The sequence below is a fragment of the Homo sapiens genome, chromosome 6 (genome assembly GCF_000001405.40).
Source record: "Homo sapiens chromosome 6, GRCh38.p14 Primary Assembly".
Taxonomy (NCBI): domain Eukaryota; kingdom Metazoa; phylum Chordata; class Mammalia; order Primates; family Hominidae; genus Homo; species Homo sapiens.
In genome coordinates this window covers 126,638,843-126,652,485 of record NC_000006.12, presented here as the reverse complement: position 1 = coordinate 126,652,485, position 13,643 = coordinate 126,638,843, and the positions used below count along the sequence as shown (strand labels likewise).

The 13,643-nt window shown below is 34.9% G+C and overlaps 1 pseudogene; it reads right to left on the bottom strand.

Annotated features, from left to right (window-relative positions):
• PRELID1P1 (PRELID1 pseudogene 1) lies at positions 8,088 to 9,026 on the bottom strand (annotated as a pseudogene).

The window sequence follows — 13,643 nt, the reverse complement described above, 5'->3', positions numbered from 1 at the left end:
ATATATTGTAAATAATTTATATATAAGAATACAATGGATTAATCCATATAATTATTATTTAATAGAGCAGCATACGACCAAATTTTGGGTGTCAAATTTGCCCAGAAAAGTTTTTTTAAAATTTATTTTGGCACTCCCAGAATAATTAATATGTTTGAACATCTACCAAATGAAAATCATTTGCTGAATTTTAGAAACTGGGTGCATTTTCCACATTGGAAACATAACTGTTGTGTGTGTGTAACCAACTCCAACTACTGGTCTTTTTAAGAATTGCCCACCTCTAAAACAAATTGTTTCATCTTAAAAAACATGAAGGCTGATCATAACTGACAATTTACCAGTAATAAATTGTATTCTGCTGTACTTTCCAAAATCTGCCCTGATTTTTCAATAGTCTTAAATGATCAACAGAGCTAGAAAAATTTGGTTTGTGAAAAAATAAGTCAGTTTTGACATAATGGGAAAACTGTTGCCTTGAAAGTATTGAAAGCGGGAAGGAGATTAATACTAAATTTTAACCAACCCAAATTCTGGGAGAATGTGGTTGGGGATGAAGATTGAGAATACCCACCACGTAATATGGAAAGAAGTGTCTTATTTTTTAAAGTAGCTTCTTTAAATAGTTAAATTAGCTATTAAAACCAGCATAAAATGAATGCTACTTTAATTTAATAATGAATAATTTCAGAGTATTAAAGATAGTTGCATTTTGTATTTATTTTAGAGCACTTCGTAGCATGAATCATAGAATCATCACAACACATTTAAAATCTCTATTAGAATTGAAATGAGCTTTCTAGAGTGGTTAATTGTCCATATGTAAAGAGAATACAAATAAAGATAGTAAATATCATCCAAACTTTTAACAGGTATCACACAATGAAATCTAGTTCTGGATCAGAACACATACACATTCATTATTAAGGAGATTGTCAGAACCAATGTTACAAAATTTACTGTAACTTGCAAACATGTATCAATTTTCTTATGCATATTTCATTTAAAGTAGAATAAATAATCACCTACAAAGAGATTAAATTTAAATAAAGAGGAGAGAGAGGAAAAAAAATCCAATGTTGGAAGAGGAACTTGAAATACAGCATTTTTCTTTTCCTCCTTTCCTTTTGTATAAGATCTATTGGTTAATTTAACAACTAGATTTTTCTCTTATTTTTACTCAATCTTTTCCTTTAAATGTCTTCATTCATTAACTGTGTTTCTTAGTACAAATCTTTGCTGAATAATAATTTTCAAGTTTGCTACGAACACTGCTTTAATTTCCTAGTAATCTGAGAAGACAACCACAGCTGCAATTTTGAGGCAGCCAGTGATTCCTGATACTGGCAGTGTTCCTGAAAAGAGAAAGGAAATAGAACGACTCCCACAAGTTTACCACAATCATTATCTCTAACAATAGCTGTCATAAACTGCAAAAAATAAGAAAATTCAGCTAAGTCCAGCTGTATAAAATTTTGTAAATATTTTAATAAGAAGCTTTTAATGAAAATCAATATTTAAAACAGTTGTTTCTCAAACTGGAGGGTATAGATTCTTCAGGAAAATGCAAATATATTCTCAGGATCCATGAGTTTTCAAATTTGAGAACAACTAATTTAAATCAGTTAATGAAAACTTCTTATAGTCAAAAGATTGCTTAAAATTACATTAATTTGGAGAAAATTTATATTTAATTTTCTACAGTAACACCAACATCATACTTAAACAGTATTTAAATGGAAACAATTAAAATGATAAAACTGCATGTTTCACATTTGGGGAGAGATGAAACACTGCTTAACACTGTGCTTTTAGTTCGTGTGTGATTTGTACAAAAGTGAAGCAACTAAGTAGACCTATGTGCTTGAGCTAATCTTTATCTTGAAAAATTATTGATCTCAAGCAAAAATTGACTGGATAAAGACTGCATTTACAAGGAAATAAAATGTTTCACCAAGAAGAATGTGAGAGGAGGTGATAGCAACATGGTGTAATAGAAAGTCCCAGGCTTTGTTTCCTGGGAGAAACACTGATTTCACAACAATGTATGGACCAGAAAATCCTTATGAGAGGTTCAGAATCCAGCTCAGATGAAGCAGTACCCCCAGATCATCACAAACTGAGAACAGTTGCATTTAAAAAGGTGAAAAGAACAATTTCACTTTATCCACATTACCTCCTCCCCCATGCCAGCCCATCTCAGGACCAAGAAAGACTGCCTCCAACTTGTATTTCTTCCTCAGAGAAAATAGTGGAGTATGTATCCAATGTCTCAGGCCTTTCAGTGCACTGCCATAGGGACTGGTTTCTGTTTTACCTCACACAAAATACTAACGGAACCAGCATAGTTCCATTATTGGGGCTTCCATTCCAGAAGCCTGGAGGCAATTAAGAACCAAGAAAAGGAGAAGAAATCTTCCTGCAGCCAGACAGCTCTGCAAGAGTGGAAAAATCTGGGCAATGCCCAGACTTTTGCCTCCTGGAGGAAGGGAAGGAATGAAGCATGCATCCAACATCACAGGCTTTTGAGGCACTGCCCTAGGGAGAAGGTGTGGACAACTAACTGCAGCAAACTCAGCCCTATGAGAATGAGAGAAGGTGTACATCCCCATTCTTCCCCAGGAGAGAGGTTAGAGAAATAGAGTGCACAGAGGTGTCAGAGACCCCTAGAATCTTTAGCTAGGTTGATTGGTGAAGGTCTTTCCTCAGCAAAGCAAGTGTGTAAAAACTGGGAAAGGTAGCTGCTTCTTCCATTGCTCATATACCATGCAAAATCACAAGACTCATGAAGAATTAGGAATATATGACACAACTAGGGAAACAAAATAACTCTACAGTAAAATTTAAAGAAATATTTAAATAAGCTTTCCTCCCCCTTCTCTCTCTCTCTCTCCTCTTTCTGAGATATGCATATGCATATATTGGTTCATTTAATAATGTTTCATAACTCTCTTAAGGTTTCTTCACTTTTTTCAATCTTTTTTTCTTTTTCTTCTTCTGACTGCATAATTTTAAAAGACCTCACTTCAAGTTTGCTGAATCTTTCTTCTGATTGTCCAGGCCTGCTGTTGAAGCTCTCTATTAAAAGTTTTAGTTTATTTATTATAGTCTTTAGTCCTAGATTTTCTGTTTGGTCTTTTTTAATGGTTTCTAGCTCTGTTGATAGTCTCATATTGTTTACGTATCATTTATCTAATTGCTTTTAGTTGTATTTCTGTGTTCTCTTACAGCTCACTGAGCTCCAAGGCAATAATTTTTAATTGTCAAGCAGTATATACATATCCATTTCTTTAGGATTGGTTACTAGAGAATGATTTTGTTCTTTTAGTTGTATCATATATTCCAAATTCTTCATGTTTCTTGTAAATTTGCATTGGTATTGAGCAATTGAAGAAACAGCCACCTTTCCCAGTCTTTCCAGACTGGCTTAAAAGCCTCCAGCAATTAGCCTGGCTACAAATTTTAGGAGCCCCTGAAACCTCTGTGTACTCTCCACTCCTCTATCTCCCTGCTGGTGGAGGAAGTCTCAGAGATGTGTACCTTCTCCAAATGGCTGAAATTTCCCAAATCTTGGAAGAGAAATCAACATCCAAATTCATGAAGCCAAAGGGATGCCAAACAGGAGAAGAAATCTACACCAAGATACATTACAATAAAATTTTCCAAATCAAAGGCAAAGAGAGAATTTTGAAAGTAGCAAAAGAAAAGCAAATTACCACATACAAGGGAACACCATCAGACTATCAGCAGACTTTCTGGCAGAAACCTTGCAGGGCAGAAAAAAAGTGGAATGATATATTCAAAGTGCCAAAAGAAAAAAGTTGCCAACCAACAATGCCATACCTGATAAAAACTATGCTTCAGAAATGAAGATACAGACTTTCCTAGGCAAACCAAAGCAGAATGAGTTTATTGCTCAACATGCTTTACAAAAAAAAAAAAAGATGCTAGTAGAAATTGTTCAAGTTGAAATGGAAGGACCTAAAGAGCAGCACCAAAGCATATGAAAGTATAAAACTCACAAATAAAGGTAAATACATAGACAAATGGAGAAAATTGTAATACTATAATGGTGGTATGTATTCGTGGCTCACACAACTTTGAGCTAAATCTCTCAACAATCAGCAAGCTCCAGAGAACATTCCTAGTCAGTAATGGGCCCAGTTTCCTTTGATCCAATAAAAACACTGCTTCTTTTGAATTTAACCAAAGGGCCACTCTTCCCCCAAATCCATAACCTTGCCTATTCCTTTGTTTAATAAGGTTCTGCATTTCTCCATGCAATTTTTGTCTGCTTTTGTTTTTCAGGTTTAAATTATGTTTTCTGCTAACTCAGTGAACATATAGATGACCTCTACCTTTCATATATATTTCTATATGTGTATGAAACATATATATAGATATATGAAACATACATATGTATAACCTATACACATATATGCATATATTTATTTCTACATCTAGCAATTAGATATTTTGAGCTAACCTAAGAACTCTTTTCCTTACAAACACAGAGAAATGTGCACAAAATACTACAAAACTTGATATAGACATTGAGCTAGAACAGTTGATACTAGAAACACAAACTAGAATTAATAGAATGATATTTTTGCAAACAGATGCTAAATAGCTTTTTTGTGATATTAGATTAGATATGGTCCCTAAGAGCTATCAAACATGGAGAAAAGCTCTAACATGTAAGTACTGGGTCTTTAATCTCACATAAAGTGAGATGGTAGGTGTAGCATTGACATATCTATAGAAAATGTGGGGTCCTTGGAGGGATACCCTTTCAATGAAAAAGAACCTGAAAAAAACTTTGACCAGCAAAACTTATTTGTTGCTGATTGAGGATACTGATGAATAAAACCTCCTGTTGAAAAATCAAAGCCCCAAACCTGTGCTGTACACAAGTCTGGGGTCTAAAATTTACATTAATGTCATAGTGCTTGACTTCTCAAGCCAAAAAATATTAGTGAGAAACTACTCCTAGTCCTAGTCCTATGAATTTCTCTAGCACTAGAAGATGGAAATGTGAAAAAAATAAATAATATTACACTAGTTTAGAGTTCACAACATTCCTAGAAGGGAAAAAATCCCCATTGAAGATGGCTTCATTGCTAAAAACTATAAAATATATGAGGAAATAATCCCATTATGAGGGAGAGTCAGTGAATCCCACAAACAGAAAGAATTTAACTCTATAATAACGGAAACAATCTAAAGATTATGAAATAAGTACATTTTAAATGAAAAAAGACAAAAGAACAAATATAAATCAAAAGGAAAAATTAATGTTATAAAGAGGGAAAAACACTTATAAAATGCAATCAAATTTTCAGGCATAAAAATATAGTCATTAAATAATGGACAGTCTATTAGGATATTAGACACAGATAAACTGGAAGACAGATGGAGAAAATTATTTAGAATGTAACACAAAGAGTTATCCATGTGAAAATATGAGAAGTTACAATTTAAAAAGAATATAATAAGAAAGTCAATATATTTCTAATTTGAGAACAAGAAAATGAGGCTTGTGAGTTGCAGGAGGCAATATTCACAAAGCTAATGGCAGAATTTTCAGAATCGAAAAATAATTTCTCAGATTGAGTCCAATTATTCTCAAACATAATAAGTAAAAGTAAACCCAAATTATATGTCATCCTAAATTATACAGCAATAGCAAATTATTCAAAAATATTAGTAGTTTACAACAACGAAGGTATATTTCTTGTTCATGTTACATGCCCATTATATTTCGGCTGTGCCTCAGGCTCATGTCTGCACTCCAGAATCCAAACTATTGGGCAGCTCTTCTCTGGGACATTGCTGGTCTTGTCGCAGAGGTAAATGAGAATAGAGTGAAAACCATGTAATATCTCTTAAAGCTTGTGCTTGAACATGACACATGTTACTTCTGCTCCCATTTCACTAGTTAAAACAAATTGGATGGCCAATATTAATATCATTGGGATAAGGTTGTATAATATTTAACATTAATATAATCTGCCATATTCTCACTTATATTGTATTAATCAACATCCAGGTGGGAAACAGAAATACCCTAGGTGTTTCAATTAGAAGAGTATAATATAGAGAATTATTTACAATGTGTTAGAAGAGCTAAAGGAGCAAAAGATAACACTTAGGTCTTACCTAAGTGTTGCTGTTGTTGTTGTGCTGTTGGAACCATTAGTACAACCATATTGTAAGAAGCCAACAGCTCCTACTCCTGAGGACACTAAAAAATCTGGGAGCCCACATTCCCATTGTTGTTGCCGCCACATCCACGCTACAAGTGTTGCCTGCTACTGGTACTGCTAGAGACTGACTGCTGAGGTTGCTGGGCAGCAGCAGTTTCCATTATTGAAACCAAAAAACCTGAGCTGCTGAGGTGGGTGGAGTGCTGCTGCTGCCACTGTCAGGATAAGAAACAGAAGAAAGAAAATCAAAGACAAGGAAGATATAATAAAAGCAATCAGAAAAAAGACACACAAAAGAACAATTAGATGAGAGCAGATTTCTTAGAACTACAACAGAAGTCAGAAGACGATGCAGTAACATCTTCAAAGAGCTGAGGGAATATATATCTTAAGTTAGAATTCTACATAATCTTATTCAAATGTGAAGCTTAAATAAATATATTAACAAGCAAAGATCAAAATAGATCAAGTTTTGCAGACCTAACTGAAGGAACATTTATTAAATTTCAGTAAGAAGACAGTAAAATAAGAAAGAAGATTACAAAAATAAACTTGTAAAAATATTGGGAAATCTAAACATGTTTTGATTATAAATATAACAGTAACAGTCACTAATTTGAACAGTATAAATAAATTGAATCTAAAATATCAGGCTTTATATTTGGGAGATAGGAAAGAATGATGAGGGTGACTGAGACAAAAGCATTCTTTTATATTATTTATTTAGAAGGGTAGAGATATATCAAGTAGTTTTAGCCCATTGTAAAGACAATTGTTTTCTAAAAATTGAAGAATAACAACTGAAGGATCAAAAATGAATGTACGATTTCAAAATCAAAAGAAGAAAGGTGGGTGGGATAACCATCTACTAGAAATTAAGAGAGAAAAATATATATATATTTTGTATTTGACTCCATTTATAACCCAAGTACAGTGACTTAAAATAGATTATTTTCCTCATATAATAGGAAGACAAGAGAAAGCTGTTAAGTTCTGTCCCATGGCTATCAATGTCTCTGCTATTCTTTTGGTTACAAGATAGCTGTTACAGCTATAGCCAGAACGTCTGCATTCCAGTAGGAAGAAAGAGAAAGGAAAAGCTATGACATTGTACCAGAAGAGCAAAAAGTTTCCACAGCAGCCTTCCTTTTATATATTCTTGGCCAAATATCTTTAGAAATATTTCCAGAAAATAGTCATCTTATTTTAAGTGTTTGTCCTTGTTTTACGTTTGATTTTTTAAAAATTCAATGATGGAAGAAACTGGAAGAAAAAAATTTAGAGCAATATCACTAATAAACAGAACTACCACCATGACAATAAAAATAAAACAAACTTTATCAGTAATCACAATAAATATAAATGGATTAAAGTCAGCAATTAAAGGAGATCCTCAGATTAATATAAAAATTTAAAACTATCCGGCTAAATGTCTTTTAACATAACTAACATAGTAAAAGAAAGGCTAAAAGTAAAATGATCAAAACAAGGCAAACGCTAACTGATATAACTCCATTAATATCAAATACAAAAGGTTTTAAGGTAAAAATAATCATGAGATAAAAAGAATTTTTGCATATTTACGAAAGCAAACAATAGAATTAATGATAGAGTTCCCATAAACTTTCAAAATTGTCACAAAATAAAATTTAATTTGCCAAAATCATGAGAAGAAGAAATTCAAAAATTTACTATGACAGTGGAAAATTTTAACACACTTCTCTTAGGAAGTTGTACATAAATCGGAGAAAACATTAGTAAAAAATATGTAGAATATTTAAATATGCAAACAATAAGTTTAGAAAAAGTATTTCAGTTCCCTAAGCCTCAGTTTCTTTATCAGAGCAATGAATATTATAATGGTAACTTTTTTTTTTTTTTGACAGGGCTGGAAGTTGATTTTTAATGATAAAGTACAATGGAGGGAGGGCCGAGGGGCTAAGCCTAGCTGTCTGGGGTGCTGTGGTGGTGGTGGGCTGGCTACACAAACTGTTGCTGCTGCTGCTGCTGCTTCTTGGTGGCCGCCTTGCTGGCGAGGTCCTTGGCCTTCTCTGTAGCTGCCAGTGCCGTCTCCTTTGCCTTCTCCTTGGCTTCCTTGGCTGTCCCAACAAGTGTTTTGGAAGGGGCCTCGCCTTGCAGCTTCGCCAAGATATATTCAAAACCCTTCATAGTCTTGGTCACGTTGCTTTTGAACCGGCAAGTCCAAATTCCTGGACAGCTCTGAAGACACCAAATAAGCTAGAGGAGACTCAGGCTTCCCGGCGGATTTCGGTCCAGCCACTTGTCAGAGTTCACACAGTAAACACATCGTTCCTCCACCACCATCAGCCGGGCGTGGTTGATGTTCCAGGTGAAGGTAGTCATGGTCTGATTCTGTGGGTCCACAACAGAGTCCTCCAGGATGTACACCGAGTGAGCAACATTGGCAGGAAACAGTCGCTCGGCTCAGCGGGGCATCCTGTTGGTCTTGGTCAGGAGTCGCCGGGACAGCAGTTTCTGGTCAGGGGTCACCTCCCGGTGTACTATGTCTTCCGTCAAGACATGTTTGCTATAGGGATTCGGGTACCGCTGCCAGAAGGCGGCGAACACTTGGTCCCAGGAACTCCGGAGCATGCTCTGGCCCAGGAAATACTTCACCATCGTCCCGGCCGGAGCAGGCTCAGCACCCGCGCAGCATCAGGGGTGCGGAGCCTGGGACGCACGCAGGGGCCTGGCCGGACCGGGGCTCGGCGCGCACCCTCCGCCAGGCTCGTAGCTCAGTCAACACCGCACCGCGCCCAAGCAGCTGCCGCCGCCGCCGCCGCCATGAGTTGTCCGGCCCGGTAACTCTTTTAAAAGACTTTTGAGATATAAATCATTTAGCACAATATTTGGACAGTGGACAGGATCCGTAGATGGAGCCAGCAGCATCCACATTTAGAATAGCGCTAACAGGAGAACTACCAGAAATTGCAGTAATGGCAGTGATAGTGACACTATCTATTTTTGAATTTTTTCCAGGTCCTCATAAAATAAATGAAAATTAAGAAATGGTAGAATTATTAAATTTCATCAGCCTATAATTCTATTTGTATTAAACAGTTAAGCCTTAGGATGCTTATCAGTAGTACATTTACAGATGAAAATTTGACTTTCAAACCTGTTTTAAAATATATTTTATGAGTAAAATTATATATAATAATCTTTTCCCAGTTTTAACATGGTAGCTACAGATCTTTAAAGGAATAAAAACATAAATATAGCACTATAAATATTTTTATGTTTCTCTAACTTTGCCTTAAATATGAAAAATATATTTGCATGAATTGAAAACTTCTGGAAATTTCACATTTTGATTTAATGTCTTTAACACTCTAGCACCTAATTCACAAGTTTTCTTTCTACTGTGATTTCTCCCGTCTGCTATTCTTGGTAAATTCAGCATTCCCATAAAAGGCTCATTTAACAAAATAATCTCTTGCTTATTTGAATTCCAGTATTGTTTTTCTTCACCTGTCATAGCCACCTATGAACACACGCCCACCCACTCTCACCCTATTTTACTTACTTTAAGGAACTTACTTTCTCATTTTTTTAACTCGACCTTCAAAATATATCTCCATATTCATTCTCCTTTCAATTCTCAAAACTGAAAAATCTCTTCCCTTTCTCCAAGAAGAAACCAAATCTTGACTTACTTAGAAACACGTAACTTGAACTTAGAGATCATTGTTCCTCATGTAGTTGGAATTGAAAGTTTTCAGTTTCTGGAGTTAATATTTATTACTTTGAGCAAGTCACTTTAATCTGGTCTCTCCCAGTCCTCTGCACAGATACCTACACACTGATCTTGCTGCTTCTGCACATGCCTCTGCATCTTTCCACATCTTTCTTCCTAAAGAAATAATAACCCACCTTTTCTCTTTTATAATCTTGTACCTCTCTCCCAATATTCCTCATCTTTCATCAAAAATTTCTCATCACTTTAGCCCTTAAGATTTTTCCTCATTCTGAACTACTCATCCATATACTACTTATTGACTGTTAACTCACATTTAGCATCAATCATATATTGCCCTATAATTTTAGGACATGTCTAGGTTCATGAGCTTTTAGAAGAAATGCATAATGTCATTTAGCTCTTCTACCAGGCCTAAACCAGGACCCTACATATTGTGAGTAAAGTAAAATTTACAGAAAACTTAGAAACAATGGCCTTCCAAATTGTGATTAACTTTATGCAATAAAATAATTGATTATAAATTTAATTTTAACTTCTTTGGGTATAAGCACAATACGGTGTTTTGCAATATTATCTTTTCTTTTTGTTTGTTCATCTTTTTACATCCCATTCCTGAAATATAAGAAAGAAATATTTCATCATCATTGAGCACTTCCATCACTCTTTCCTACTGTTATTTCTTTCACTTCTTGCAATATTGCCAGCATTTTTGTCAATATGTTTTATTGTCTCTGGCTTTCCTTTACTGTTTGGTGATCCACCCTATTTATCATTCTTTTTTGGTGCTTCTATGACATTACAAAACTCTAGAGATATTTATAAATGTTATGGTAAGTACATTATAATTGTTATTTTTAGTAACAAGTTATAAGTAACAATTTAAATGAGTATACAAAGTAATTTTTTCTTTTAAAGAAAGCAGATACTGAGCTATTTTCTCTAACGTATGCTCTTGGCAGTTAACAAAATTCTCAGCCTTAGTCCTAAAGGCTAAAACTACTTATTATAATAAGTGACAGATATTCTGTGTGAATTGAATAGCACATTAAGTACAGAAGAAACAAATCAAGTCTTTAAGAGTACAGGAGTGATTATAGTCACAGCATAGCTAAGCAAACTTATGCTTTAACCTTTTATTTGAATTTTAAACATTTGTATTCATTTTAATAAAAAATTAAAAGTCAAAACTATTGAGAATACTAGTTAATTTAAAATTATTTTGCCATTCTGCTACTTAATACATGGATCCTCAAGAATTATGAGTGCAGTGAAAATCTAGCAATGGGAGGACCATCTTTTCCAATTTACTTTGAGCTTGTGTATTAGGAATATCCTTGCCTGAAAGCTTTATGAGCTATCTATGAGCAATGACCAGTAGGTGTACAATTTTAGCAGCAGGACTCTCATGGGGTTAGTTAAAATATCTTGTGGTAGGATACTTTCAGGATTCTTTTTTTTTTTTTTTTTTGTCCTCCTACTCTGACTCACTGAGAACCTGTTCTAAGCTTTATTAAAAGAAACAGCAAATGTGTCAGTTAAAATAGTTTTAAAATTATAGGCATTACAAGAAAGTAAGAATTGTGAAAAGAATCAAAGCTATTAGTAACAACAGTAGAGAGGTAAATTGGTTTTAGCTAATTTAAAGCAATATAGCTAGGAAAAGTAGAAAGAGGGATTAGGCTATAAAAAGTAATTGAGAGAACGAAATTCCAAAACAACTGACATCACAGGTATGTTGATGAGGCCAATGTAACTCTGCAAGTCAACAGGTAACAGATTGCTATGTTTATAGCATCATACATCATGGTTCCATCAATCCCCAACAGCACAGAAGGCCTCATAGTTGTCAGTATGTTTTGACTGGAGATTTTATGTGACGATCTTTGAAAAATACATATCCTCCTTTTTACTTCGCATTTCAATAATCTTTGTTGAATATCTGTTGTTAGTTTAGCCCACCCCCTTTGCTGTCCCTGTGTCAGACATTCCAGATAAGCATACTAACTATGGAGAAGGACTCACACAGGGAGGTTAAGAAACTATTCCCTTCTCTGAATTCTTAGAGGATTCCAGGGCCCTTTGCAAGTACATTAATACTTATGCTCATCCATTGAAGGTGAAATAAAATATTGCACTGCTTTTAAAGCAATGTTTAAAATAAAAAATCAGTGAACTATAATAATGTTTATACAAAGCCTTAACATGTTATTGAACCTTATGATCACTCCCTCAGAAAAAGTCTATAGAATGAATTAAAATGAATTAAATCTAAATATTTTATTTTGTTTTATTTTATTTATTTATTTTTTTGAGACGGAGTCTTGCTCTGTTGCCCAGGCTGGAGTGCAGTGGTGCGATCTCGGCTCACTGCAAGCTTCGCGTCCCGGGTTCACGCCATTCTCCAGCCTCAGCCTCCCGAGTAGCTGGGACTACAGGTACCCGCTACCATGCCTGGCTAAATTTTTTTTTTTTTATTTTTTTGTATTTTTAGTAGAGACAGGGTTTCACCGTGTTAGGCAGGATGGTCTTGATCTCCTGACCTCATGATCCACACTAATTTTAATGTATATTCAATTCCTATAACTTGGAGGATGAGGTCACATGAACTACCTTTCCACTGACAATTAAAAATGCTGAATTAAATGTACAAAACATTTTTACAAATACTTTTGACGAGCTGGAATGAATGTAAGAAATATTCAGAGGCCGAAAAGTGAAATGAAATCAGGAACACAGAGAAAAGCTGAACATTGAACCTGGCTGTCTCCTGAAGAGAATTTGCCAAACCTAGTGAACTTGGACTTCAATTCTCATGGTTTCATAAGGATCAGAGAATGGGAGAAAAATTTTAGGATCTGGACAAATTGAAGAGTCTACCTGGAGACCAGAGCACCAAAGGAATAAATCCTGATGGCAAACTGAACCAGAAAAAAGCAGCCTACCCTACTGCTAGAAGGTAGTAAGGACAATTTCCTCTATTGAACCTTCTTGCCCCTAAGAATTAATAACCATAAACTAGCCCTCACCTAGATGCGCACAGTAAAACTGAACTACCTGAATGATGTAAAAACTTAAAGGCAACAATAAAGTAGCTTAAGGCTGGTAGAGTCATGGCATCTAACAGGAGCAAATACAAAAACTTTCTAAAGCAGTCCACCCAGGCCTCAGATAATTTCCTTAGATAAAGTTCCAAGAAACAAGATCTCCCCAGACCTTTGTGTCTAAATACTGTTTGCCAATAAAAGAAACCAGGGCTCTTTGAAAAAATGTTTCTTCCTGGGACTGGGGCAGAGAATACAAAAGATGAGCTTGGAATACCCTGTAGTGCCAGAAAGTAAAGAAGTGCTAAAAAAGAGAAAAAGAAAGAAATCGGGAGTATGTTGAAAGAGAGGAGCCAACTTGAATAGTAACAAAAAATGAGCCAAATTTGCGCATCCAAACAAATAATGAAAATGGTTTAAAACCTATGGAATAAAATAAATATCCATGAGTATACAATGCTATAAATAAATAAATAGGAAAGTAAGCCTACCTCTTATTTTCAATGGGATTCTAATTAATAAATGTAGAAGGAATGATGAAAATGGAAGATCACCACTAGACAAACACAACAAAGCATCCAACAAATTCAGATTGAAGGACATGCTAAAAAATCAGTCCTCTTCAAAAAGATCAGTACTTCAAAGATCAGTACTCTTCAAAAGCATCAAAATTAT